This window comes from Homo sapiens, chromosome 17 (assembly GCF_000001405.40).
Source record: "Homo sapiens chromosome 17, GRCh38.p14 Primary Assembly".
NCBI lineage: Eukaryota > Metazoa > Chordata > Mammalia > Primates > Hominidae > Homo > Homo sapiens.
Genome location: NC_000017.11, coordinates 46,260,809 through 46,288,060, shown reverse-complemented (window position 1 = coordinate 46,288,060; position 27,252 = coordinate 46,260,809). Strand labels below are relative to the sequence as shown.

Sequence of the window (27,252 nt, the reverse complement as noted above, 5' to 3'; positions counted from 1 at the left end):
AGGTGAATCTACCAAGAAATGCCTTGGTAGAGCTAGGAGTGCCAATGGTATCGGCAAAGCCAGCCTGCTTCCCTGTGATTCATGGTAATTCTCACTATGACTTTGACATGATGTTCCTACACTGTGCCTATCAACACTTGTAGACACACTGTATAAGCGTTTGTTACATTTACTTTTTCTTTTGTCATTACGTCTTTTATTACAGAGGCCACTGTGCACTCCACAATCACACACTTACACAGCTCCGCCTTGCCAAGCAGTGTAGACCCTGCCAAGCAGTGTAGACAGATTCTGGATAACTATCTTTGCATCCTTCCCCATACCATGTCCCCGATGTTGAACTGAAGCAGCTCCTTCCACGTTCCCTACCCGTTAACTAGCCAGGCCACTGCCCACATTGTCACAAACATTATATTAACTGAAAAAGTGGCCCATGCCATATTCCATTATGAGAAATTATTTTTAATTCGATTAAATTCCAATGTTTATTCAGAAAACCTGGTAGAGATTGAATTGCTCTATGTACCTTTCTTAGTTTTCTTCTTCTTAGCATATTTTGACCGTTTATCTTCTACACCTGGCTGACCTGCATGGTCCTTGTAGTGTAACTTCTACTTGGTGTTTGCGCTTTGCTTTGTTTTCAAATTTAAATTGTGAGATACATTTTTAAACCTATCTAAGAAATAGCCCTGATATTGAAATGGCTTCTGTGGAATAGGTTTGACAGGTGTAAGTCTTTGATTCTTTGGCTTTGGTTTTTGTGCCTGTTACAGTTTTGCACACATTCATTCAGAGGAAGACATTACCATCAGTGTGTGGTTTATTTTTTCAAATTCCAGTATGTTTTTAAAGACCCATATTTCACTAAGCAGTGTACTTGTTGAAACCCATGTGAGTGACTTTGTTTGCACATGTGATAGAGCATCAGATACTGGAGTTTGCCAGGGGTAGAATGGTTGGATTCAGGAATGTTTAGCTGACTCATAGCAGGAAGTTATCCTGTAAAAAAATGAAGCAAGGCAGGGAAGACAGATTTAAGTACCATGCAGCTCAAAACGACAATTACATTGTCATTTTCGTTGTGAATACTTCTAGGTTCTATATTGGCTGTGATCTTTGTACTAACTGCTATTATGGAGAATGTGTTGGCATCGCAGAAAAGGAGGCTAAGAAAATGGATGTGTACATCTGTAATGATTGTAAATGGGCACAAGAGGGCAGCAGTGAGGAATTGTACTGTATCTGCAGAACACCTGCAGTCACAGTGAGTTCTAATAAGAGCATCACATTTAATAATTTAGGAAGCCAAATTGCTCTGACTGGTTACTTATTTACTTTAAAATAAAAAGCAGATTTTTTCTACATTTGTTATACACTTACATTACAAATTCCTTTTCATTTTTTTTTCTCTTTTTCCCTTTTTACCTACCCTTCAAAATTTATCTTGCTTCATAGTGAATGTTTGAGACACATTGGGGAAAATGTGGTTTAATGGTAGATTTGATTCTTCAATATGTAACATAGAAATTAATGAGATTAAACTAGCTTGACTTGTTTGGACTTTATCAGTGTTTGAAATGGTGCTTTATTATAGGTTAGAAAAACACTAATTTGGGTATAAGCTTTGAGACTCTGTTATTACCTTATAGGATTTTGAACTCCCACATGGTACAGTACTAGTTGAAAGATTTGTGACTTGTTTTCAGCTTTAAAATCAATTGAATGTTTCATATTTATCTTTAAATTGGTTCTCCAAAATTACAGTGTTCTTATAAATTTTTTTACTGCTTGTTCTTAACATCAAAAATACTAAATTAATGTACTGGAATGTCGATCTTGAAAGTATTAAAACCACAATACTAAAACTATTTTATATCCCAGGGTTTAGCAAATTTTCAGGTGCATGCTTTATTATAAGTAACATCATCCCATCTGTTTTGAACTCACATTTCCATTTCGGATCTTGCAGATTTTTTATTGGCCATGATCGGTGTCAGAATTGGTACCATGGGTGCTGCATTGGCATCTTGCAGAGTGAGGCAGAGCTCATTGATGAGTATGTCTGTCCACAGTGCCAGTCAACAGAGGATGTCATGACAGTGCTCACACCACTAACAGAGAAGGATGATGAGGAGTTGAAGAGGGTGCTCCGTTCCTTACAGATGAGAGCCCCTCTGTGTGCAGCATTTGAAAATGAAATCAGCTGGCATAATTTTGGAAGCATTTCTAGGATTTCAAGTTTCCAATGTTAGGATTTCAAGTTTCCAATCTTAGAGTGATTATTTACTGACTCTCAGCTAGTCTAGTGAAGGGCTTGACAAACTTCAGTCCTTCACATACCAGTGTCATGAGCTTTACCATATCCCCACACCACCTCAGCTTATCTAACACTCAGATAATCTAACGTGACTCACTTCTTTATACATTTTATTTTTAAAGAAACTTCCTCTCACTCCCATGGATTGAGAAACAGTATGATTAGATTATAGTTATTATTTTCCTTATGAAAGACAGAAAGGTGGCTGGGTACGGGGGCTCACACCTGTAATCCCAGCACTTTGTGGGGGCTGAGGTGGGCAAATCATGAGGTCAGGAGTTTGAGACCAGACTGGCCAACATGGTGAAACCCCGTCTCTACTAAAAATACAAAAAACTAGTCGGGTGTGGTGGCGTGAGCCTGTAATCCCAGCTACTAGGGAGGCTGAGGCAGGAGAATCGCTTGAACACAGGAAGCAGAGGTTGCAGTGAGCCAAGATCGAGCCATGGCACTCCAGCTCGGGTGACAGTGTGAGACTCTGTCTCAAAAAAAAAAAAAAAAAGGAAAGAAAAGAAAACCAGGATAGGTATGGTTTGCAGGATTAGCAAGTGATACAGGTGTATTGAAGACACAGAAGGCCAGTGTGGTTGCTCACACCTATAATCCCAGCACTTTGGGAGGCCAAGGCAGGAGGATCACTTGAGTCAATTAGTTAGAGACCAATCTGGGCAACAAAGTGAGACCCCATCTCTACAAAAAATAAAAATAAAAAATTAGCTGGGCATGTTGGCACACACTTGTTTATCCAGCTACTTGGGAGGCTGAGGTGAGAGGATCACTTGAGCACAGGAGGCTACAGTGAGCTATGATCGTGCCACTCCACTCCAGCCTGGATGACAGAGCGAGACCCTGTCTCAAAACAATGGGGGGAAATAAAAGGATATAGTGCATTGGATTGAAACTTTCTTCTATTTTTATCATAATCACAAGAATTGAAGAAACTAAAAAGGGAATCGTAGTCTCAATGTGTGGTTGAATGTTATCTAACATCACATCTCTGCCACCTCATCATTAATCAGCTGTGGTAATGATTCCACACTTTGAACCCATCCCACCTGTTACAGAAGCAGTTGCAATGCCAGCATCACTCAGTGACAGCTCATCATGTAGGGCCCAGAATACTGATTTTGTGACTTCTAAGCTTGTGTTCCACCCCCCACACTGTGGGGAAAAGAAAGAGAGATCAGATTGTTGCTGTGTCTGTGTAGAAAGAAGTAGACATAGGAGACTCCATTTTGTTCTGTACTAAGAAAAGTTCTTCTGCCTTGAGATGCTGTTAATTTATAACCTTACCCCCAACCCCGTGCTCTCTGAGACATGTGCTGTGTCAACTCAGGGTTAAATGAATTAAGGGCTGTGCAAGATGTGCTTTGTTAAACAGATGCTTGAAGGCAGCATGCTCCTTAAGAGTCATCACCACTCCCTAATGTCAAGTGCCCAGGGACACAAACACTGCGGAAGGCCGCAGGGACCTCTGCCTAGGAAAGCCAGGTATTGTCCAAGGTTTCTCCCCATGTGATAGTCTGAAATATGGCCTCGTGGGAAGGGAAAGACCTGACCGTCCCCCAGCCTGACACCCTTAAAGGGTCTGTGCTGAGGAGGATTAGTATAAGAGGAAGGAATGCCTCTTTGCAGTTGAGACAAGAGGAAGGCATCTGTCTCCTGCCCGTCCCTGGGCAATGGAATGTCTCGGTATAAAACCCGATTGTATGTTCCATCTACTGAGATAGGGAAAAACCGCCTTAGGGCTGGAGGTGGGACACGCGGGCAGCCATACTGCTTTGTAAGGCATTGAGATGTTTATGTGTATGTGTATCTAAAGCACAGCACTTAATTCTTTACCTTGTCTATGATGCAGAGACCTTTGTTCATGTGTTTATCTGCTGACCTTCTCTCCACTATTATCCTATGACCCTGACACATCCCCCTCTCCGAGAAACACCCAAGAATGATCAATAAATATGAAGGGAACTCAGAGGCCGGCAGCATCCTCCATATGCTGAACGCAGGTACCCTGGGCCCCCTTATTTCTTTGTCTGTACTTTGTCTCTGTGTCTTTTTCTTTTCCAAGTCTCTCGTTCCACTTAACGAGAAACACCCACAGGTGTGGAGGGGCAACCCACCCCTTCACCACACCAAGGTCTTCCGACCAAGCTTTGAGTACCATTATTGCAGAGGAAGCTCATCTTAGGTAACTTATTACTAGAGCAGAAATCACCTAATATAAAGTATTTCATGTATCGCATTTAAAACTGACTTTTGGGTTCATTGATGTAGTGACTCAACTGGGAATCTTAAATGGAATTAGTGTTTTCACTGACAATAAGAATGCCTACTTTTTCATTATAGGCCCATAAGATGGCCCAGCCTTTCCTTGAACCAGTAGACCCTAATGATGCACCAGATTATTATGGTGTTATTAAGGAACCTGTGGGTACACATGAGTTGAATTTGAAGTTTTTTCAGAAGTCTCAGTGTATATTTTATTAACCATAAAATTAATATCTTAGAATACTTTTAGCAAGGCTGGTGGGGGTATAAATTGGTATGGTCACTTTGGAGGGTAAATTGATAGTATCTATTACAGTTGAATTGTGCATACTCGGTTATTTTATTTTATTTTTTTGAGATGGAGTCTCACCCTGTTGCCAGGCTGGAGTGCAGTGGTGTGATCTCACCTCAATACAACCTCTGCCTCCCAGGTTCAAGCGATTCTCCTGCCTCAGCCTCCCGCGTAGTTGGGACTACAGGCACGTGCCATCACACCCGACTAATTTTGGTAGTTTTAGTAGAGATGAGGTTTCACTGTGTTGGCCAGGATGGTCTCAAACTCCTGACCTCAGGTGATCCGCTCGCTTCGGCCTCCCAAAATGCTGGGATAACAGGCATGAGCCACCGCGCCCAGCCCCCACAGTGATCTTCCTTTGAGGAAAAGCCACGGGGTGCTTTCTCTCTTCTGTAGCAAGGAAGATGGTTTCTAAGAGGGTATTTTAAAAGCAGTTTACCTAAAATAAAAGTGAAAGGCCAGGCAAGGTGACTTATGCCTGTAATCCCAGTACTTTGGGAAGCCGAGTGGGGAGAATAGCTTGAAGCCAGGAGTTCAAGACCAGCCTGGGCCACAGTATGAGACCTTGTCTCTACTACCAAAAAAAAAAAAAAAAATTAACCAGGCTTGGTGATGAGTGCCTATAGTCCCAGCTACTTGGGAGGCTGAGGCAGGAGAATCACTTGAGTACAGGAGTTTGAGGCTGCAGTGAACTATGATCGAGCCACTCCACCCCAGCCTGGGTGACACAGCAAGAACTTGCCTGTTTAAAAAAAAAAAACAAACAAAAAACTGAGGCCAGGTGCGGTGGATCACGCCTGTAATCCCAGCACTTTGGGAGGCCGAGTGGGGCGGATCACGAAGTCAGGAGATCGAGACCATCCTGGCTAACACGGTGAAACCCCGTCTCTACTAAAAATAACAAAAAATTAGGCGGGCGTGGTGGCAGACGCCTGTAGTCCCAGCTACTCGGGAGGCTGAGGCAGGAGAATGGCATGAACCCGGGAGACAGAGCTTGCAGTGAGCCGAGATTGCGCCACTGCACTCCAGCCTGGGAGACAGAGCGAGACTCCGTCTCAAAAAAAAACAAAAACAAAAACAAAAAAACTGAAGGACAAGCCCAGCTAAAGTATCCAATTTTTATTCTCAGCAAAGGAATTAAAAAATAAATGAATATATATATAGGCAAGGAAGCAAGAAAAGTAGGCAGCAGGTTATAGACCAAAAACAAGAAACTACAAAATCTGTAAAACTAGGCTAGGCGTGATGGCTCATGCCTGTAATCCCAGCACTTTGGGAGGCCGAGGCGGGTGGATCACCTGAGGTCAGGAGTTTGAGACCAGCCTGGCCAACATGGCAAAACCCCATCTCTACTAAAAATACAAAAATTAGCCAGGTGTGGTGATGCACACCTGTAATCCCAGCTACTCAGGTGGCTGAGGCACGAGAATTGCTTGAACTCAGGAGGCAGAGGTTGCAGTGTGCCAAGATCACACCACTGCACTCCAGCCTGGGTGACAGTGAGACTCTCACAAAAGAAGAAGAAAAAATTCCCAACCTTACCAACATAACAAGACCATGTCTCTACAAAAATTTTAAAAATTAACCAGGCATAGTGGCGTGCACCTGTAGTCCTAGCTACTCAGGAGGCTATGACAGGAAGATCACTTGTGCCCAGGAGTTCAAGGCTGCAGTGAGCTGTGATCACTTGTGCCCAGGAGTTCAAGGCTGCAGTGAGCTGTGATTACACCACCGCTCTCCAGCCTGAATCACAGATTGAGACCCTGTCTCAAAAAAAAAAGACAAGAATAAAAGAAAAATTTTCTGAGCTGATGCGAGTCACGGGACTTTAAATTCTAGCAGAATAAATTCATTCACTCAGCAAATGACTATTGAGAACCTGATGTGTGCCAGATACAGGGAATTTAGCAGTGAATAAATTAAAGCCCCTGCACTCTATGAGGGGTGGGGGGAGCAAGGGGTCAGTTGATAAACATTATAAGCCAGGTGGACAAATGGAAAAAGACTCACTCCTACATACATCACTATAAAATTTCCAAACATTAAGAATAAAAGAAACTTTTAGATAAAACAGACAATCTATAAAACAAGAATTAGATTGGTGTCAGATTTTTCCGCTACAACATTTAGTGCTAGAAGATTATGGAAGAATAAATCTAAAAGTTTAAGAAAAAATGATTTTCAACCTAGAAGTCTATGTGCAGCCAAACAGTCAAGTAAAGTCAGAATAAATACATTTTCAGTCATGTAAGGACTCAGGGTACCCTTTCTTGGCAGGTATTTTTTAAAAGCGTGTGCTATTGGCCAGACACGAAATGGCTTATGCCTGTAATCCTAGCACTTTGGAAGGCAAAGACGGATGGAACATTTGAGGTCAGCATTTCGAGACCATCCTGGCCAACATGGCAAAACCTCGTCCCTACTAAAAATACAATACTTAGGCGGGCATAGTGGCGCATGCCTGTAGTCCCAGCCACACAGGAGGCTGAGGCATGAGAATCACTTGAAACAGGGAGGCAGAGGCTGCAATGAGCCAAGATCACACCACTGCACTCCAGCCTGGGTGTCAGAGTGAGACTCTGCTCAGGAAAAAAAAAAAAAAAAAAAAGTGTGCTATCAAAAATAAGGAAACAAATTTTTTTCTTTTTAATAATATATATTTTTAATTAGGGACAGGGTCTTGCTATATGACCCAAGCTAGTCTTGAACTGAGCTCAAGCGATCCTCCCGCCAACCTTGGCCTCCCAGAGTGCTGGGATTACAGCCGTGAGCCACTGCACTGGGCTAGAAATTTTTCTGTTGTTTTGTGTTTTTGAGACAGAGTCTCACTCTGTTGCCCAGGCTGGAGTGCAGTGGTGCAATCTCACCTCACTGCAACCTCCGCTTCCCGCGTTCAAGCGATTCTCCTGCCTCAGCCTCCCAAGTAGCTGGGATTACAGGCGCCTGCCACCACACCTGGCTAATTTTTGTGTTTTTAGTAGGGATGGGGTTTTGCCATGTTGGCCAAGCTGGTCTCAAGGCAAGTGATCCACCTGCCCTGGCCTCCCAAAGTGCTGGGATTACAGATGTGAGCCACCGCGCCTGGCCAGACATTTTTATTTATTTGGGTTCAGAAAACAAGAGGTTCAGGGAAAGCAATGAGAATTACTCTGACTCAAGGTGACATTTGTACAGCAGGCTGTGCGGTAAGCAATCCAAATCCTAGCAGGAGAATGGAGCACTCCCCAGAGGGTCAGTAGGGCAAGACAATGACTCATGCATTAGATAATTTGTTTAAGACAGAAAAACATAAGGCTATGATTAAGCCAAAGAATGTCAGGGATAAAAATGAAAGGCAATTAGAAACGCCACTAAAAACAAAAAGTTGTGTAGGAGGGCCTGTTGGCTGGGAATGGTGGTTCATGCCTGTAATCCCAACACATTGAGAGGCTGAGGCAGGAGGATGCTTGAGCCCAGGAATTCTAGACCAGCCCGGGCAACATGAGGAAACCCCATCTTTACAAAATACAAAAATTAGCCAGGCATGGTGATGTGCACCCATGATCCCAGCTACTCCAGAGGCTGAGGTGGGAGGATTAAGCCCAGGAGACAGATACTGCAGTGAGCCATGTTCATGCAACTACACTCCAGCCTGGACGACACAACAAGACCCTATCTCAAAAAAAAAAAAAAAAAAAGAAAGAAAGAAAAAAAAGGCCAGGTGCGGTGGCTCATGCCTGTAATCCCAGCACTTTGGAGGGCCAAGGTGGATGGATCACCTGAGGTCGGGAGTTCAAGACCAGCCTGGACAACATGGCAAAACCTCGTCTCTATTAAAAATACAAAAATTAGCCAGGCATTGTGGTAGGCACCTGTAATCCTCGCTACTTGGGAGGCTGAGGCAAGTGAATTGCTCAAACCTGAGACGTGGAGGTTGCAGTGAGCCAAGATTGTGCCACTGCACTCCAGCCTAGGCGACAGAGCGAGACTCTGTCTCAAAAAAAAAAAAAAAAAGAAAAAAAAGAATGCCTTATTAGCAAAGGACTAGGTGGTATAGAGAAAAATATTTACATTGTCGTAATAATGTAAATAATGACATTGGGCCAGGAACAGTGGCTTATGCCTATAATCCCAACACTTTGGGAGGCCAAGGCATGTGGATCACCTGAGATCAGGAGTTCGAGACCAGCCTGACCAACATGGTGAAAGCCCATCTGTACTAAAAATACAAAAATTAGCTAGGCGTGGTGGCAGGCACCTGTAATCCCAGCTACTCAGGAGGCTGAGGCAGGAGAATCACTTGAACCCAGGAGGCAGAGGTTGCAGTGAGCCAAAACCATGCCATTGCACTCCAGCCTGGGCCACAAGAGCAAAATTCCGTGTCAAAAAAAATAAAAATAAAAATAATGACATTGGTTTTCAACTTTTAGAATCAGCCTACAGACAAAGCATGGAATGATATAATTTTTAAATTATAGGGAAATAAAACTTGGACTCAGCCAGGTGCGGTGGCCCACACCTGTAATCTCAGCACTTTGGGAGGCCGAGGCGGGTGTATCACGAGGTCAGGAGTTTGAGACCAGCCTGGCCAAGATGGTGAAACCTCATCTCTACTAAAAATACAAAAATTAGCCGGTCGCAGTGGTGAGCGCCTGTAATCCCAGCTACTCAGGAGGCTGAGGTGGAAAATCGCTTGAACCCAGGAGGTGGAGGTTGCAGTGAGCTGAGATCACACCACTGCACTCTAGCCTGGGTGACAGAGCAAGACTCCATCTTAAAACAACAACAAAAAAAAAACAAAATAAAACAAAACAGAACAAAACAAAACAAAAAAGACTAGGACTCAAAAATGGAGGTGGGAAAATGGTTAAGTGAGCTTGGCTCTCATTTGCCATCACAGGGCTTAAATGAAAGTTGATAAAACAAGAAAGAGCAGTATAAGAAAGCTACCCAGGCTGGGCATGGTGGCTTATGCCTGTAATCCCAGCACTTGGGAAGGCCAAGGCGGGTGGATCATCTGAGGTCAGGAGTTCGAGACCAGCTGGCCAACATGGTGAAACCCCATCTCCACTAATAATACAAAAATTAGCCAGGCATGGTGGTGCACGCCTGTAAGTCCCAGCTACTCTGGAGGCTGAGGCAGAAGAATCACTTGAACGTGGGAGGCGGAGGTTGCAGTGAGTGGAGACCACACCACTACACTTCAGCCTGGGCGACAAGAACGAGACTCCATCTCAAAAGAAAAAAAATCTACCCAGACCAGGCATGGTGGCTCATGTCCGTAATCCTAGCACTTTTGGGAGGCTGAGGTGGGCGGTTAGGTCAGGAGTTCCAGACCAGCCTGGCCAATATGGTAAAACCTTGTCTCTACTAAAAATACAAAAATTAGCTAGGCGTAAGGGTGGGCACCTGTAATCCCAGCTACTCGGGAGGCTGAGGCAGGAAAATCATTTGAACCCAGGAGGAGGAGGTTGCAGTGAGCTGAGATCCCACCACTGCACTCCAACCTGGGCAACAGCAAGACTCTGTCTCAAAAAAAAAAAAAGAAAGAAAGAAAGAAAAGAAAAGAAAAGAAATCTACCCAGAGAACTGAAAGGTCAAGGGGATTGATCATAGGGAGCCTGGATTTCAGAGGGAGTTAAGGTAGGACAGAGGAGCACAACTTCTCATTATAAGCCCCTCTATGCTTTTTGATTTGTACATGGTGGTTATTCCTCTGGTTCAATTTCTAAAATTGCTTTTTTAAATTGGAAAGGCCTTTGGTGGTAACTGTGAGGTAGAAGCCAAGGGGTGTGAATCCTACCCTGCTGCCAACTTGCTGGCAGAGCCCAGAGGATGACTGCTGGCAACTGCTGATGAAGGAGAGGAAGTTGCTTGGAGGTCCTGGGGCCTGTGGCAAGACAAAGGGAATTTGGTAAAGGAGCAAAGGAGACCTAGGCTGGGCCCGCATAGTGTAGGGGCCACTTAGGATGTCTTCTTGCCACCTGGTTATTTTATGTAGCTTTTTAATATACTGAAGTTGACATAATTTTCAATAAAGCACATGGGAGCTGAATGGAGACGTTTGCTCAATTCTGCTTAAATAAACAAATTAGGCTGTGTGCAGTGGCTCACACCTGTGATCTCAACACTTTGAGAAGCCAAGGCAGGCAGCTCACTTGAGCCCAGGAGTTTGAGACCAGCCTGGGCAACATGGGGAAACCCCATCTCTACAAAAAATACAAAAAATTAGCTGAGCATGGTGGCACGTGCCTGTAGTCCCAGCTACCCAGGAGGCTGAGGTAGGAGGATCACCTGAGCCCTGGAGGTTGAGGCTGCAGTGAGCCATGATTGTGCCACTGCACTCCAGACTGGGCTACAGAGTGAGACCCTGTCTCAAAACAAACAAATCAAAAAAAAAAAAAAAAAGAAAAAAAGAAAAAAATTACAATGCAAAGAATTGTATAAAGACAACTTGCTGTTGCATTTTTAGGGAATTTCTATTGCTTTCCAGATTTAAGGTAGAATGAAACATAACTAGCCAGTTATTGAAACTTGATTTTATTATGGGTTTCCAGAATTTCCTTTGCCATATTTTCCCATTGTAATTTATGATCTCCAGCATTGTTTGCACATTGTTTTCATTACTGCACTTTGTTATAATTCATCATTTATACCATCCATATTCTTTCTTTTCTTACGGATTGTGATATCTTTAGTCTAAATTTTTAACTGGAATCAGAACTGGATGTTGGGGTCACTGTTTTATTGTACCTTGTGATTACGTAATCCAAAATTGCCCCCCAAAAAGTCAGGTTAGCTAATATAATTTTTTAATGTTAACGATGTATAGTGGTAAAAAATTTATTCTAGCAGCCACGTGAAACAATGTATTTAAAAATTGTAAACTATTGGAATACTGTATTTATCTGCTATTGCAATATAAATTTATCTGCTATTGCAATATAAAGTCCTTTGACTTAGTCCTGGTAACTGTACAGTAATTTGGTTTACTGACAAAAGTTGTGAGGCCAGCCTTGGTGGCTCACACTTGTAATCCCAGCACTTTGGGAGGCCGAGGCGGGCGGATCACCTGAGGTCAGGAGTTTGCGACCAGCCTGGCCAACATGGTGAAACCTCGTCTCTACAAAAAGTACAAAAATTAGCCGGGTGTGGTGGCAGGCACCTGTAATCCCAGCTACTCGGGAGGCTGAGGCAGGAGAATCGCTTGAATCTGGGAGGCAGAGGTTGCAGTGAGCCAAGATCGCGCCTTTGCACTACAGCCTGGGGACAAAAGCGAGACTTCGTCTCAAAAAAAAAAAAAATTGTGAATAAAACTGTGTGAAACTGGGAGACTTTCTGGACTTTAATAGAAAAATATGATTTTAAAATTGCTTTTTCTTTTGTTTTAGCATAATTTTTCCCTTTATATTCCCCTCATCCGTGTAAATAAACACACACATACACACACACACGCACCTTTCACCACAATGGTAATGCTTCTGTAAATGTCTCTATTTGTCCAGTTGCCTGAAAATGTTGTAATCTTTATTAGACAAATATATATACATACATATTTTAAATATTGGCTTTTTCCAGTGAGCTATTATGCTTAGTGTACAGTGAAAAGTTTTATTATTATAGGTTAAAAATTTCTTAATCGTTCTTTTCTATTCGCTTGCCAAGGGTGAATGAAAGAACATGGCTGCTTCTTCCAGATTTATTTACTTTGGCATCCGCATAAAGCATCATTTTCAAAAATGAAAGGTGCTCAATTGTTCCCTTTTTCTATACTCTGTAGGTCTCACAACAACAAACTGCAGTCTACAGCTTCCTAAAGTTCAGCATGTTAACCTAACATAAAACACAGCAAGAATCTTGTTGCCTGAACTATTTTAAATTAAGGAGCCAGATCTTTTTAGTGAGGCTATCCTGACAAGACTTGACCTAAACTTTGTTTTTATTGGTCATAACAGTCCAATTATATTATTGGCCAATTTTGTCCAATGGACAAGAAAAAAGCAAAGTTGCCAGGTGCGGTGGCTCACGCCTGTAATCCCAGCACTTTGGGAGGCCAAGGCGGGCGGATCATCTGAGGTCGGGAGTTCGAGACCAGCCTGACCAATATGGAGAAACCCCGTCTCTACCAAAAATACAAAATTAGCTGTGCATGGTGGCCTATGCCTGTAATCCCAGCTACTTGGGAGGCTGAGGCAGGAGAATCGCTGGAACCCGGGAGGCAGAGGTTGTATTGAGCCGAGATTGAGCCATTGCACTCCAGCCTGGGTGACAAGAACAAAACTCCGTTTCAAAAACAAAAAAAGGAAGAAAAGAAAAAGAAAAAAGAAAAGTCAACGACACCATTATCTTGTCAAGATCAAATGGTTTTATTATTGTGGCAGAAGCGAGAAAATTTTGTTTATTAAAAAAAAAAAAGAAAAAGAAAGCAAGAAACAATGATACTGTGGGGTCAAGTATAACTCCATGGAAATGCCACGTCTGCTCTTCAGTGAAGAAGCTGGTTTAGAGTCTCAAAGAAAACTTTTGACTGTATTTATTTATTGTTGCAAAAAAGATGCTTTTTTATTGCTGCCCTCATTTGTCAACTAATTATTTTTTCTTATAAAATCCAGCCACGGTTACATATAATCCATCCATATCTTATCAATGATTCCTGTACGTAAAAGTACAAGACAACCTCTAGATGTCTTTTCTTTCTATGAAAGGAGCTGCTATGTACACATGTGCACACACACACAACTGCGAATCAACAATGAGTTTATTGTTCATGGTAGATTAAAATCAAGCTTGCATAAAGGTTGGGCTAAGTGGTCCTGGACTACAGACTCTGGTGACTTGAATATAACAGTACAATTTGTCAATTACTCCACACCAGGTTGAAATGAGTAAAATCTATTTGAAGGTATCTTCTTTGTAAACATTTGTCAGATTCTAATTTTTCTTTTTGTATTAAAATTCAACTATGGATGTATGTGAAACAAAATAAATGGAGATAGTTTTTCTCCCACAGACAGAGGTGTCTTTGAATGTGTGCTAATGATTATCTGTAAGCCTCTGTGGGGAGGGAGGGCTGCAAGGTCATGAAAGGCAAAAGAATCTAATTGTACCTGGAATTCTCCTGGACAGCAGTGGCCCCTCGTTTTATCATTCCCAGTCAATTGTCATCACGTCAGAGAAGAATCTTCAGGGGTGCTAATCCTGTCGCATCAGTTGATCATACTAACGAAAAAGGTAATGCGACAAGATACACATTGCCTTCATCTGTACATTCTGTGATACTGGGCAAATTACCAATTACAGACAGCTACTTATATTGTATGAAGGACATTTTTTGTTAGATGATCTCATCCTCTGTGTTATTTGTTGATTGGGTTTGTTTTTTGCTTGTTGGTTTGTTTGTTTCTTCCATGTAAGGAAAAGTAGTGTAAGCAGTAGGAAGAAAATGAGGAAGATGTATTTTGCATGTTCTTCCTTTCAATGTTCTTACACATTGTATTACTGCATTGTGGTAATAGCTTCTATAAAATCTGCCATAGCTGGATTATGCAGCTTTGCAAAAATTCTACTAGATTTTATTCTAACTCATATTAGCTTTGTCCTATCAACTTCTGGAATTTATCTAATTATTGCTTTTAAAAGTTTCCTTCCTTTCAACGTTTCCCTGCTATGCAAAACCTTTCCCAGACCTTGGTTTCTTAAAAGAAAGATGTTGCTACAGTTCCCAATTCTTTCTTATTACAGGCTCAGGTGTACAGGTTATTCTGGCTTAATTTTATCTAATGAAGCCCATTCCTTTTTGTACATGAAGATGTCACTTAAACCTATGTTTACAAACTAAAGAGACTAATCACTCAATATGAAAACATGAAAACATTTTTGCTTAAAATATTAAGATGGAAATACTTAAATATGGATTATTTTGTCCTTTTACTTTTTAAAAAAAGTTACATATTGTATGCACTGTGCTGATGCAAGAATTCTACATTTTAATGAATTATAAAATTATTCTGCATCTCATCACGTCACAGTATTTCTGCACTATTTATTCATATATATAGAAATATATATGGGCTTAATCATTTAAAATTTGTTGCAGCAAGAACTTTCCTACCTGTAGGCAATAGATTGCTATGTTTTCAACAAATTGTGGCAAATTCTAAACAGCAATTCTTTTGTATGTAATAGGACATTTCATACTAGAAAAATAAAGTAATGTTTTTGACATTGGATTTGGTGCAGTTTCTAATGAAGCAACGGTTGGTTGGTGGTAATATGTCTTCTGTAGCTGTTAGCATTGCCAAATTAAAAAGGGTAAATTTTATGGAAATCCTGAGACCAGGAAGATATTAATTTCATGTGTATTTAATGGTATAAAGTGTTTTACAGTTTCTATCACCATACAAATACATAAAGACATTTTATAGTTTTATCAACTATAGGGCTTTAGTCTTTCAAAAGTAATTTTTGAAAAACACACATTCCTGGCCAGGTGTGGTGGCCCACGCCTGTAACCCCAGCACTTTGGGAGGCCGAGGCAGGGGGGATCACCTGAGGTCAGGAATTTGAGACCAACCTGGCCAACATGGTGAAACCCCATCTCTACTAAAAGTACAAAAATTAGCCAGGCATGGTGGCAGGCACCTGAAATCCCAGCTACTAGGGAGGCTGAGGCAGGAGAATCACTTGAACCTGGGAGGCGGAGGTTGCAGTGAGCCGTGATCACGCCATTGCACTCCAGCCTGGGGGACAAGAGTGAGACTTCATCTCAAAAAAAATAAAAAAGAAAGAAAAACATACATTTTTTAGAACATAATGAGTTCTGAAAGCTGCTTTTCTGTGAGTAATCTTTGAAAGCTTCTGCTATTAAGATCTATATAACACAGCTATTTTGCTTTCAATAATCCAGGCAGTAAACTGTACATTTGTGATACTCTTAGGATGTTTCTACCACAGGCCTTGGGCTTGTAAATATATTTAATTTGCATCAGTAGATTTCCTTGGCTAAAAGTATTTTCAATAACTGTTATGCTTCACCTGCCAAGTTCACAATCCTTGAAACCATTTCATGAAAAGTATTTTCCTATTGGTAAAGCTTTTATTCTCCTATCCAAATTCTACAGGAGGTTTAAATAAAATTGTGGCTGGGCATGGTGGCTCACGCCTATAATCCCAGCACTCTGGGAGGCTGAAGCGGGCAGATCACAAGGTCAGGAGTTAGAGACCTGCCTGACCAACATGGTGAAACCCTGTTTCTACTAAAAATACAACAATTTAGCTGGACAAGTGGCACACACCTGTAGTCCCAGCTACTCAGGAGGCTGAGGTGGGAGGATGGCTTGAACTGGGGAGGCAGAGGTTGTAGTGAGCTGAGATTGTGCCACTGCACTCCAGCCTGAGCGACACAGCAAGACTCTGTCTCAAAAAAAAAGTGAACTTTTGGAGATATTTTCTGAAGTAAAATAATTACCTTTTTATATTCCAAATGGCCTAGAGTGTTATTTAGAGACACTAAGATTTGCTGTTGTTTGTAATCTACCTTCCTGGGATCTGCAAATAAAAGTTATTTCCCTATTTCTGCTAATTCCTTTAGGCAAACTCTCTACTTCTTTATGTTAAAGAGCCAACCTGGTGGACTTTCAGATCTCTGCACACTTAGTTAGACAAAGTTACATGGTTATTACAGCTTTCACTCTTCCTGATTGAAACTATCATGATACGGCTGGGCGTGGTGGCTCACACGTATAATCCCAGCACTTTGGGAGGCCAAGGCAGGTGGATCACCTGAGGTTGGGAGTTTGAAACCAGCCTGACAAACATGGAGAAACCCCATCTCTACTAAAAATACAAAAAAAAAAAAAAAAAAAAATTAGCTAGGTAAAGTGGCGCATGCCTGTAATCCCAGCTACTTGGGAGGCTAGAGCAGGAGAATCACTTGAACCCAGGAGGGAGAGGTTGCGGTGAGCTGACATCATGCCATTACACTCCAGCCTAGGCAACAAGAGCGAAACTCCTTCTCAAAAAAAAAAAAAAAAAAGAAACTATTACCATAGGTCTCAGATTTCTTGCCCTTAATGTGAGAATGGGGATATTCCATGGATAAAATAATGAAGTACTTGAGGAGGTGGAGGGAAGAGCCAACCGAGAAGTATTTTTAATAATTTGAAACATTCTAAGGTATTTCTAGATACTTGGAGTGAGATACTAAAAGACTTTTCTTAGAAGATTATACCACTTGATCCAATTTGAACCAAATTCAACTAAAGAAATTAGCCATATAGATATACTTTTTGTTGTTGTTTCAGACAGAGTCTCGCTCTGTTGCCCAGGCTGGAGGGCAGTGGCATGATCTCGGCTCACTGCAACCTCTGCCTACTAGGTTCAAGCGATCCTCCTGCCCCCCAATAGCTGGGATTACAGGCATGCACCACCATGCCCAGCTAATTTTTGTATTTTTAGTAGAGACAGAGTTTCGCTATGTTGGCCAGGCTGGTCTCAAACTCCTGACCTTGTGATCCACCCGCCTTGGTCTCCCAAAGTGCTGGGATTACAGGTGTGAGTCACAGCTCCCGGCCTAGCCTTTTGACATTTAAAAATTCAACTTTGATTTGACTGGCCTGAGTTATGCCTGAGTTAATTTTTTTTATCTTAAAGAAAACTAGCTCAGAAGCTCTTCATTAGCTATAATTCTATCATGCAATAATGCATCTGACTCCCAAAAAGCAATTCTAGTAAAATTTATAATAAATTTGGACAAAACTCATTTTTGGAAAATACTCTAGAAATCTCTCAGTAGTGCTTTACCATAGAACACTCAGAACCTCTCAACTCTTTATTACCTGTCTGCCCCATAATTGGAACAAATAATAGTATCAGGTATTGTAATGTTAGGCTGTTGCCTCTTGGCTCCTGTGATTCCCTAGCGTCCCGTCCTGGATGTCCTTTATGTGTACAGTGCTACTACTGGGTGCCATGGACAGCGTCAGGACACATTCTGACCTTCCTGAGTGCATCACCGTGAGGCCAAATAGGCTGCTCTCTCTCCAGTGAAATTCCTTCCCCTGTCTCTCTTTAGGCAGTCATCTTCATCTATGCATTAGTGGTGTCTCTGTTCACCGTACTTCTTATAAACTGAAGTACAGCCTTATCTTCTGAAAAAATACTCTCATGTCTTTGTGGACTCAGGTATAAAATCAATATTTAATTTAGCTAGTGATTAAACCTTTTTAAAACCAACTGAAAAATGTTTAGAATTCACTTGCTTGTGAGCTGTCATTGGTTAATATTGGTTCCAAGGTTTGGGGAATGAATTTGAGAAAGGCTTTTTCTCAAACCTTTAGGGCTCAAAGGCTAAAACAAAACAAAACAAAAATAAACAGGTGCATCCAAGGTCTAATTTCAAAGCAAGATTTATTGCTTTACAAGCAAACATTATACTTGGTCTTAATAGAAAAATGATATCAGATACACTCAGAATACAGTTCACATTGGGATAGCTGCCAGTTCAGCACAAAACATACATTATTAGGAGCAGGGAGGCATGAAAATAAACTATATCTTACTCTTTGGTACATCAGGAACACTTTTGCCTGAAGTAAGCCCTTTGGCACTTTTTTAAAATTTATTTTTTTAATCCACCCATCCGCACACTGGCCCTTTTGTACACTTTGTTTGTTTTTGAGACGGAGTTTTGCTCTTGTTGCCCAGGCTGGCGCGATCTCGGCTCACCACAACCTCTGCCTCCTGGGTTCAAGTGATTCTCCTGCCTCAGCCTCCCTCAGCTGGGATTACAGGCATGTGCCACCACACCCGGCTAATTTTTGTATTTTTAGTAGAGACAGGGTTTTTCCATGTTGGTCAGCCTGGTCTCGAACTCCGGACCTCAGGTGATCCACCCGCCTCGGCCTCTCAAAGTGCTGGGATTACAGGTGTGAGCCACCGCGCCCGGCTTGGTACTTTTTAAGTGTAAAATTTTAATCCTTGTCCTGGGCTTTGACCCTTGTGTTTGATCTAAATGACGTTTCATAGGTAAATGTCTTTTGACTAGTGCGCTTACTGTTATGTGAAGAATTTAATCTTCACATATAAGTTTTGAATATAAATCAGGTTTGAATATAAAATCAGGTTTGATACATGATATAAAAGTTGTGTATTTAAATTCAGGAAAATGTTTTGTGGACTATTTCTACTAAAGAATGTATTAAATTAAAATATTTAAAAACATGAAGCAGTGATCTGTTAACTAGACAGGTCAGTTATCTGAGCTGTGTAAATCACTGTCTGGCACAACAGTTGAATCACCTTGACACTGAGCTCAGGAGCAGCCCATTTAAGAAGCATCTTGTAAATAACAAAGTGACACCTTCGAGATTACAGTTGTAACTATGCAGGTCATTCATAGAGTAGCTTTGGGCTCTCTTCTAAAGGAGGACCCATTACATGAAGATAGACCTTTCATGTCTTGTTGCCGATGTCTCTTGTGATCCAGAAATGCCAGGATGGTTGTTTCAAATGCATTGGGTATGAATTGCACCTTGAATTTGCCCTTCCCTTTTTGGGTTAAACCTTTTCACATAGCTGCTGCTGCTCCTCAGCAGTCCATCCCCTGGACAGAGATGGCCTCTCAGGACCTGGAGCAGAGCTGTAGGAAGCTGCCCTCTCTTATGGTAGATGTGGCCCATCACAATATACCTGCTGCCTGGACAAAATAACCAGAACATTAATTCATAGCGTCTTTTAAATGCCATGAAACAGAAAATATAAGGCCTTTAAGAAATACCTAAGCTGCAATCTACTATCTTGCTGCACAAGTTGAAACTGATATTTAGTCTACAGGCAAGGTGGAAACAGTCTAGCGACCTTTAGAAGATAACCAACCCAACCAGGCCAGTGCAGTGGCTCACGCCTTTAATCCTAGCACTTTGGGAGGCCGAGGCGGGCAGATTACTTGAGGTCAGGAGTTTGAGACCAGCCTAGCCAACATGGTGAAACCCCATCTGTACTAAAAATACAAAAAGTAGCACGGGGTGTGGGGAAGGGAAAGCAATACGTAACCAGCCCACATTACAGAACAAAGGTCCTTATCACATTGTATCAGGATTTCCCAGAGCACATGCCTAGAAAGATGTGGGAGTGGGGCTGGGCGCAGTGGCTCAGCCTGTAATCCCAGCTACTTGGGAGGCTGAGGGCAGGAGAATGGCTTGAACCTGGGGGACGGAGGTTGCAGTGAGCTGAGATGGCGCCATTGCACTCCAGCCTGGGCAACAGAGCGAGACTCTGTCTAAAAAAAAAAAAAAAAAAAAAAAAAAGATGTGGGAGTGGGTATTCCCCGCTACCAACCCTCCACACACTCCCCCAAAAAAGCAGCTTTTCTAAACTCAGTTCTGTACAGTCCCTTCTGGCAATGGTGTTTGGTGGTCGCTCACTCCATTTGTCAACATCTATTTATTGACAGCCCGCTTTGTGCCAACAGCTGCCGTTCTCACCCGTGGGGGTGGGGCTGACGGTGCTTAAATCACAGTGGCGGAAATAATACCTGTCGTCTAAATCCTAATCATGTTACAATACTGTCCCCCATCCGTCCCAAAAAAAGACTGGACGACCCACAGCCCGGGCTGTGGCACCCACGTTACAAACGGTGGTATAAAGTACATATGCAGCGTCATTCAGCTCAGTTTCAATACCAGGTTTAAACTCTGGACACGGTTTATTGCAGCTGGAGGAGTCCAGGACTAACATGTGGACTCGGAAGAAGAAGACGTCGGGGGTGAGTGAGGTACAGGCGGTTCATCTTGTACAGCCCGTCCCGATCCACCAGCAGGGTCACCAGCCAGATGCCCGCGCCCAGCACGTCCACGTCATGCACTATCCCGTTCATCGCTGCTTCCAAAAAACAGTTTGGGAACCCCAGTTCCTCTCCCAGTCCCTGGGCGTTGGTTTTTAGCAACAGCGAAACGGCCCGCATGGGTCGGGCGCCCTGGGATCTCGCGTGCAGGATTCTCCGGGACTCGGAAAGGCTCGCGGGGCGGCGGCGCGGCGGCCGGGCTCACCGATTTCGCGCTTGCAGAACGCCTCTCGCCCGTCCATGCCCGCCCGGCAAGCGCAAGCGCAGAGCTCGGCGCCGGGCTCCGCGTCCCTGCGCGGCTGACTGAGGCCGAATCTGAAGCTGAGGCGCGGCGGCGGCGCGGGCGGCGAGCCGGGGGCCGGCACAACGGCGCGCGGCCGGTTGGGGTGGGCAGGGCCGGCGGGGCCCTCGGCGGCGCGCGCGCGCGGCCGGGCGGCGGGGAAGCGTAGGGCCCGTGAGCGCGCGCGTCTCGGGGCTTCCTCCGTCGCGGGCCCGCGGCGCGGCGACGCGCGGTTCTCGGCTTGCGCCAGGCGCGGGCCTGTGGGAGCGTGTGCGGCCTCACGGAAGGTGGCCCGGTTGTCGGCCGGCGGCTGAGGCCTGGGCGCCCCCTCCCCAGATCCCCGCTCCGCTCCCAGGGCTCCGCACTACACCGATCTTACTTTTTCTCTCCACCGGAGCTTCGGGGGATGATCCGACGATTAAACAGAGGAGCCAGAAAGCTCTAGCTGTCATTTTTGCAGACAGGGTTCCCAGGCTCTAAAAGTGAGCCTGGGCTTTTGCTTGCTTTCTCTCCTCTAACCCCTTCTCCACACCCGCGTCCCCGTTCATGCTAATGAGGGGCAGCCTTTGGGGAAACGGGAATCACTCGCTGAGCAGACCATTGGAACAAAACCGAGCCGCAGGGATTTCTCCCTCTTCCTTCCTAAGGGGGACGAGCACATGGCCTCGCAAAGTTGTCCCCGAGAATGTCTGTCCTGTGATCTGCGGGCGAGGATAGCATCACAGCCTAAACTTTAAACTCGTGTGCGTTTGCGCGCTGCGGTGGGGGCAGCAGAGGGTGGGGTGACAAGTGCGGAGAATAAGGGTGTTTCGGGACTGAGGGACTGAGTGGGGGAGAAAGAGTGATGGCCGCTTTTTTCTAGATTAGGTCAACAACAAATAGGAAAATAGTGCTTAAGACAGCGTGGGTTTGTGGAAGGGAGGAGATTCCAGATGACAGAGAATGTATCCTGGAATGTGTATGTTAGGCAATTTCTAGAGACACCAAGTCACTGCTTCCTAAGTTTAGTAAAACTGTTTCATTATATATGACAGCTCACTGTAACCTCTGCCTCCCGGGTTCAAGCGATTCTCGTGCCTCAGCCTCCCAAGTAGCTGGGATTACAGGCATACGCCACCATGCCAGGCTAATTTTTGTATATTTAGCAGAGACGGGGTTTCACCGTGTTGGCCAGGCTGGTCTCAAACGCCCGACCTCAAGCCATCCACCCGCCTTGGCCTTCCAAAGTGCTGGAATTACAGGCATCAGCCACGACGGCCGGCACAGAGGTCTAATTATTAATCAGAAGGTTGCCTGTTGAGGCCGGGCATGGTGGCTCGTGCTTGTAATCCCAGGACTTTGGGAGCCTGAGACAGGAGGATCTCTTGAGCTCAGGAGTTCAAGACCAGCCTGAGCAACATGGAGAGACCCTGTCTCTACAAAAAATACAAAAATTAGCCGGGCATGGTAGCTCACGCCTTGGTCCCAGCCACATGGGAAGCTGAGGTGGGAGGATCGCTTGAGCCTAGGAGGTGGAGGTTGCAGTGAGCCGAGATCGTGCCACTGCACTCCAGCCTGGGTGACGGAGACCCTGTCTCAAAACCGAAAAAAAAAGAAAGAAGAAGAAGAAGGAAGAGGAGGAGGAAGAGGAGGAGGAGAGGAAGAGGAAGAAGAGTAGGAAGAGGAGGAGGAGGAAGGAGGAGGAGAAGGAAGAGAAAAGAAGAAGGAGAAGAAGGAGAAGGAGGAGAAGAAGAAGAAGAAGAGGAGAAAAAAAGAAGAAGAGGAAGAAGAAGAAGAAGAAGAAGAAGAAGAAGAAGAAGAAGAAGAAGAAGAAGAAGAAGAAGAAGAAGAAAGGAAATTTGTCCGTTGAGCATTAAATCAAAGAAGAGAAATTTGCCAAATTGCAGCTGAAGGAGGTGGGTTAATCTACCCTCATTCAGGTGTTGGAGGAATGAATTATCTTCTCCCTCCAAAAGAGCAAACCTCTACAGCCACTGCAAAGCTTGGGTACACCAGAGTCAGGTTCTCCAGACTAGACAGGCCCAGATAAACACTAGTCATATAAACACTAGTAAGTTCATGCCCTCGGGGCCCTGTTCATAGATGTCCTCAGATCCCCTTCTTTCACGTGCTCTTTATTTAAGTCAAGTGGAATAAAATTCACTAGGCTTAAGATTTCTCAGTTACAACCACATCTCTGACATACATTCAAATCACCCACATCCTGCTGGGGGTGTTCCCAAAACTCTTCTGTTGCAGGAATGTTGTGAATGCCCTGAAACCCACACCCTGAAATGTAGAGACAGAGAGCAAGCTGGATGGTTCCCAGGGGCTCCCAGAGCCTCCTGGGGTGGCAACAGCTGGAAGAACTCACCAGAGTCCAGTGCTGGGTCTTGGGCAGTGTCTGGCTTGCAGCCTTAGAAATCACACTAATGGTGGAAGGTACAAAGAGTTCAAAGAGACTGATCTATGTAGCCAGAATGCCAGTTTATTAATTTACAGTGAGAAATCAACTCAGAAATGCAACTCACGTCAGCCTGGGTAGCATTCTCTTTCTATAAACAAGCCACACAGGAAGCCAAGTTATCATCAGGTTGCTTGGTAATATAAACCAGAGCCCAGGGAGTTTGTCACCTGATTGGAATGTTTAACAGTATTGGTTTCTCACAGCCTAATGTGTTCATCTTTACAATAGGTGTGTATACCTGTCGGGAGGAAGAACCCAAGAGACCAACTGGCAACTTCCTTGATAATTTCTGGTATTTTGAGTGTATGTTTCTGCTTAGCAAATATTTATTGAGCATCTACTGTGTGTTGTATAATAAAGAATTTGTAGGCCAGGCTCAGTGGCTCACACATGTAATTCCAGCACTTTGGGAGACTGAGGGAAGCGGATCACTTGAGCTCAAGAATTCAAGACCAGCCTGGTCTCTACAAAAAAAAAAAAAAAAAGTCAGCTGAGGTGGTAATTCTAGAGAATTTGAATTATCCAGAATGACTCACAGAACTCAGGATAGCATTTTACTTACAATGAATTGTATTATTATTTTGTCGGTTCATTATTTTATGTTTATTTTATCTTATTTTAATAGAGATGGTGGGAGCCAGATGCAGTGGCCCACACCAGTAATCCCAGCACTTTGGGAGGCTGAGGCGGGCAGATCACTTGAGGTCAGGAGTCCAAGACCAGCCTGGCCAACCTGGTGAAACCCTGTCTCTCTCTCTTTTTTTTTTTTTTTTTTTTGAGACAGAGTCTCACTCTTGTTGCCCAGTCTGGAGTGCAGTGGCACAATCTCGGCTCACTGCAACCTCCACCTCCCAGGTTCAAGCGATTCTCCTGCCTCAGCCTCCCAGGTAGCTGGGATTACAGGCATGTGCCACCACGACCTGCTAATACTGTATTTTTGGCAGAGACGGGGTTTCTCCATGTTGGTCAGGCTGGTCTCAAACTCCCGACCTTAGGTGATCTGCCCGGCTCAGCCTCTCAAAGTGCTGGGATTACAGGCATGAGCCACCGTGCTCAGCCTTTTTTTTTTTTTTTTTTTTTTGAGACAGAGTCTGGCTTTGTCACCCAGGCTGGAGTGCAGTGGTGTGATCTCAGCTCACTGCAACCTCCACCTCCTGGGTTCAATCGATTCTCCTGTCTCAGCCTCTCAAGTAGCTGGGATTATAGGCACACACCACCATGCCTGGCTAATTTTTGTATTTTTAGTAGAGACGGGGTTTCACCATGTTGGGCAGACTGGTCTCAAACTCCTGGGCCAAGTAATCTGCCCACCTCAGCCTCCCAAAGTTCTGGGATTACAGGCGTGAGCCACTGCACCGGGCTCCATTTTATCTTCTGTCTCTACAATTATTTATTTGTTTGTTTGTTTGTTTATTGAGACAGGGTCTCACTGTTGCTTAGGCTGGAGTGCAGTGGCAAAACTCTATCAAGGCTCACTGTGGCCTTGACCTCGCGGGACTCAGGTGATCCTCCCTCCTTCGCCTCCAGAGTAGCTGGGACTACAGGTACCCACCACCAAACCCAGCTAACTTTTATATTTTCTGTAGAGATGGGGTTTCACCATGTTGGCCAGGCTGGTCTCCAACTCCTGGGCTCAAGCTAACTAACCTCCTTGGCCTCACAAAGTGCTTGGATGACAGGCATAAACTACCACACCCGGATTTCCTTGTTACTCTAGGAGACATTCTGGAACTTGTACATCAGCTGCTGATTTCATTTTCAGTGCCATCAATTCTGCTTTTTGCTCTGTCCAATGAGGATCTTCCTTCCTTTCTTTTTTCTTTTCTTTTCTTTTTTTTTTTTTTCCAAGACCGAGTTTTGCTCTTGTTGCCCAGGCTGGAGTGCAATGGCTTGATCTCGGCTCACCGCAACCTCCGCCTCCCGGTTCAAGTGATTCTCCTGCCTCAGCCTCCCAAGTAGCTGGGATTACAAGTTACGGGAATTCTCACAAAAGTACAAGGAGAAATAGTCCTTATGAAGAAGGAAATTATAAAAAGGGAATAGACTGAAATGAACAAACAACAGGATGAACAAAAAAGGAAGCTGACTAATAATTCCTGAGCTTTTAAATCCTTACTGGGGCCAGGCGCAGTGGCTCACGCCCTTAATCCCAGGACTTTGGGAAGCTGAAGCGAGCAGATAGCTTGAGCCCAGGAGTTTGAAACCAGCCTAAGCAACATGGCAAAATCCCATCTCTATTAATTAAAAAAGAAGAAGAAGAAGAAGAAGAAGAGGGGAAGGGAGAAAGGAAGGAAGATCGGCCGGGCGCAGTGGCTCACGCCTATAATGCCAGGACTTTGGGAGGCCAAGGCAGGTGGATCACCTGAGGTCAGGAGTTTGAGAGGCCCGGTGCAGTGGCTCATGCCTGTAATGCTAGCACTTTGGGAGGCCAAGGTGGGTGGATCACTTGAGGCCAGGAGTTCAAGACCAGCCTGTGCAATATGATGAAACCCCGTCTCTACTGAAAATATAAAAATTAACCAGGTATGATGGTGCTCGCCTGTAGTCCCAGCTGCTCAGGAGGCTGAGACAGGAGAATTGCTTAAACTCGGGAGACGGAGTTTACAGTGAGCTCAGGTGGCATCACTGCACTCCAGCCTGGGCAACAGAGCAAGAACCTGTCTCAAAAAATAATAATAATAATAATTGTCTTTAGGATTCTTTGTCAACATTATTTGAGGTATGCTCTGCACATTTTTAAGGGGAAAATATTTTTACTTTTATTATTAAACATTTAAAAAGTTATGGAGAATAATGTAATGAATACCTGCATAAGTATAACCCGGTTTTATCAGATCTTAATATTTTCCCATACTTGTTTCTTTTTCTTCTTCTTCTTCTTCTTTTTTTTTTTTTTAGTGGTTAAAATATTACAAATATAGCCAGGCACCATGGCTCGGGCCTGTAATCCCAGCACTCTGGGAGGCCGAGGCGGGCAGATCACCTGAGGTCAGGCGTTTGAGACCAGCCTGACCAACATGGAGAAACCCCATCTCTATTAAAAATACAAAAAATTAGCTGGGTGTGGTGGTGCGTGCCTGTAATCCCAGCTACTCGGGAGGCTGAGGCAGGAGAATCACTTGAACGCAGGAGGTGGATGTTGCAGCGAGCTGAGATCGTGCCATTGCACTCCAGCCTGGGCAACAGAGCAAGACTCCATCTCAAGAAAAAAAAAATTACAAATATAGTTTGTAGTAACCATCCTCCAAATAGCCAGTCCCCAGTGGCCCCCACTTTCTGGTATTCACATACCATGTAGTCTCCCCTACCCTGTAGCAGGGTTGGTCTGGGAGACTGATAGCCTATGGAAGAAGTGATAATATACACTTCCAAGATTAGGTTACAGAAAGACCGAACTCTTTTTCTAAAAAAAAATTTTTATTTCCATAGGATATTGGGGAACAGCTGGTGTTTGGTTACGTAAGTAAGTTCTTTAGTGGTGATTTGTGAAATTTGTGTGCACCCATCACCCAAGCAATATAGACTGCACCCAATTAATAGTCTTTTATCCCTCACCCCCTTCCCATCCTTTCCCCCTGATTCCCCAAAGTCCACTGTGTCATTCTTATGCCTTTGCATCCTCCTAGCTTAGCTCCCATTTATGAGTGAGAACGTACGATGTTTGGTTTTCCATTCCTGAGTTACTTCGCTGAGAATAATAGTCTCCATAGACGGGGCACGGTGGCTCATGCCTGTAATCCCAGCACTATGCGAGGCCGAGGTGGGTGGATCACCTGAGGTCGGGAGTTTGAGACCAGCCTGACCAACAGGGAGAAACCCCGTC

The 27,252-nt window shown here is 44.0% G+C and overlaps 2 protein-coding genes, 1 long non-coding RNA gene and 1 pseudogene across 4 annotated transcripts in view, besides 4 other annotated features; 1 reads left to right on the top strand and 3 right to left on the bottom strand.

Moving 5' to 3' along the window:
• Nucleotides 1–13,877, top strand: part of ARL17B (ARF like GTPase 17B) — an 87,604-nt gene extending 73,727 nt beyond the window's left edge. The window contains exon 5 of one of the 2 annotated variants that reach the window (NM_001103154.2): nt 12,643–13,877. The gene's annotated coding sequence lies outside the window, so the exon portion shown is untranslated. Of the gene's footprint in view, nt 1–1,095; nt 2,786–12,642 lie in introns of those variants that run through there. The other variant, NM_001352769.1, reaches the window with a different exon arrangement.
• The window catches only part of LRRC37A (leucine rich repeat containing 37A), an 89,751-nt gene that overhangs the window by 49,734 nt on the left and 12,765 nt on the right, over nt 1–27,252 (bottom strand). The window lies entirely within an intron of this gene.
• Nucleotides 2,603–3,477: an enhancer, noted in NCBI's record as "H3K27ac hESC enhancer chr17:44361950-44362824 (GRCh37/hg19 assembly coordinates)". NCBI's record gives its function as "activates a minimal SCP1, AML or CMV promoter by ChIP-STARR-seq in primed H9 embryonic stem cells {active_cell/tissue: H9 hESC(primed)}" and the evidence as "EXISTENCE:reporter gene assay evidence [ECO:0000049][PMID:30033119]".
• Nucleotides 2,603–4,353: a biological region, named in NCBI's record as "P300/CBP strongly-dependent group 1 enhancer GRCh37_chr17:44361168-44362367".
• Nucleotides 3,060–4,259: an enhancer, noted in NCBI's record as "P300/CBP strongly-dependent group 1 enhancer chr17:44361168-44362367 (GRCh37/hg19 assembly coordinates)". NCBI's record gives its function as "activates an origin of replication core promoter dependent on BRD2, BRD4, P300/CBP, MED14 and CDK7 cofactors, with strong dependence on P300/CBP, by STARR-seq in HCT116 cells {active_cell/tissue: HCT116}" and the evidence as "EXISTENCE:reporter gene assay evidence [ECO:0000049][PMID:35650434]".
• On the bottom strand, nt 3,105–14,045 carry LOC124904014 (uncharacterized). The gene is made up of 3 exons (XR_007065823.1): nt 13,970–14,045; nt 10,666–10,752; nt 3,105–3,478 (listed from the first exon to the last, which is right to left on the bottom strand). It is a non-coding gene; the product is annotated as an uncharacterized LOC124904014 (long non-coding RNA).
• Nucleotides 3,478–4,353: an enhancer, noted in NCBI's record as "NANOG-H3K27ac hESC enhancer chr17:44361074-44361949 (GRCh37/hg19 assembly coordinates)". NCBI's record gives its function as "activates a minimal SCP1, AML or CMV promoter by ChIP-STARR-seq in primed H9 embryonic stem cells {active_cell/tissue: H9 hESC(primed)}" and the evidence as "EXISTENCE:reporter gene assay evidence [ECO:0000049][PMID:30033119]".
• Nucleotides 18,251–21,091, bottom strand: LOC100132570 (chromosome 17 open reading frame 58 pseudogene; annotated as a pseudogene).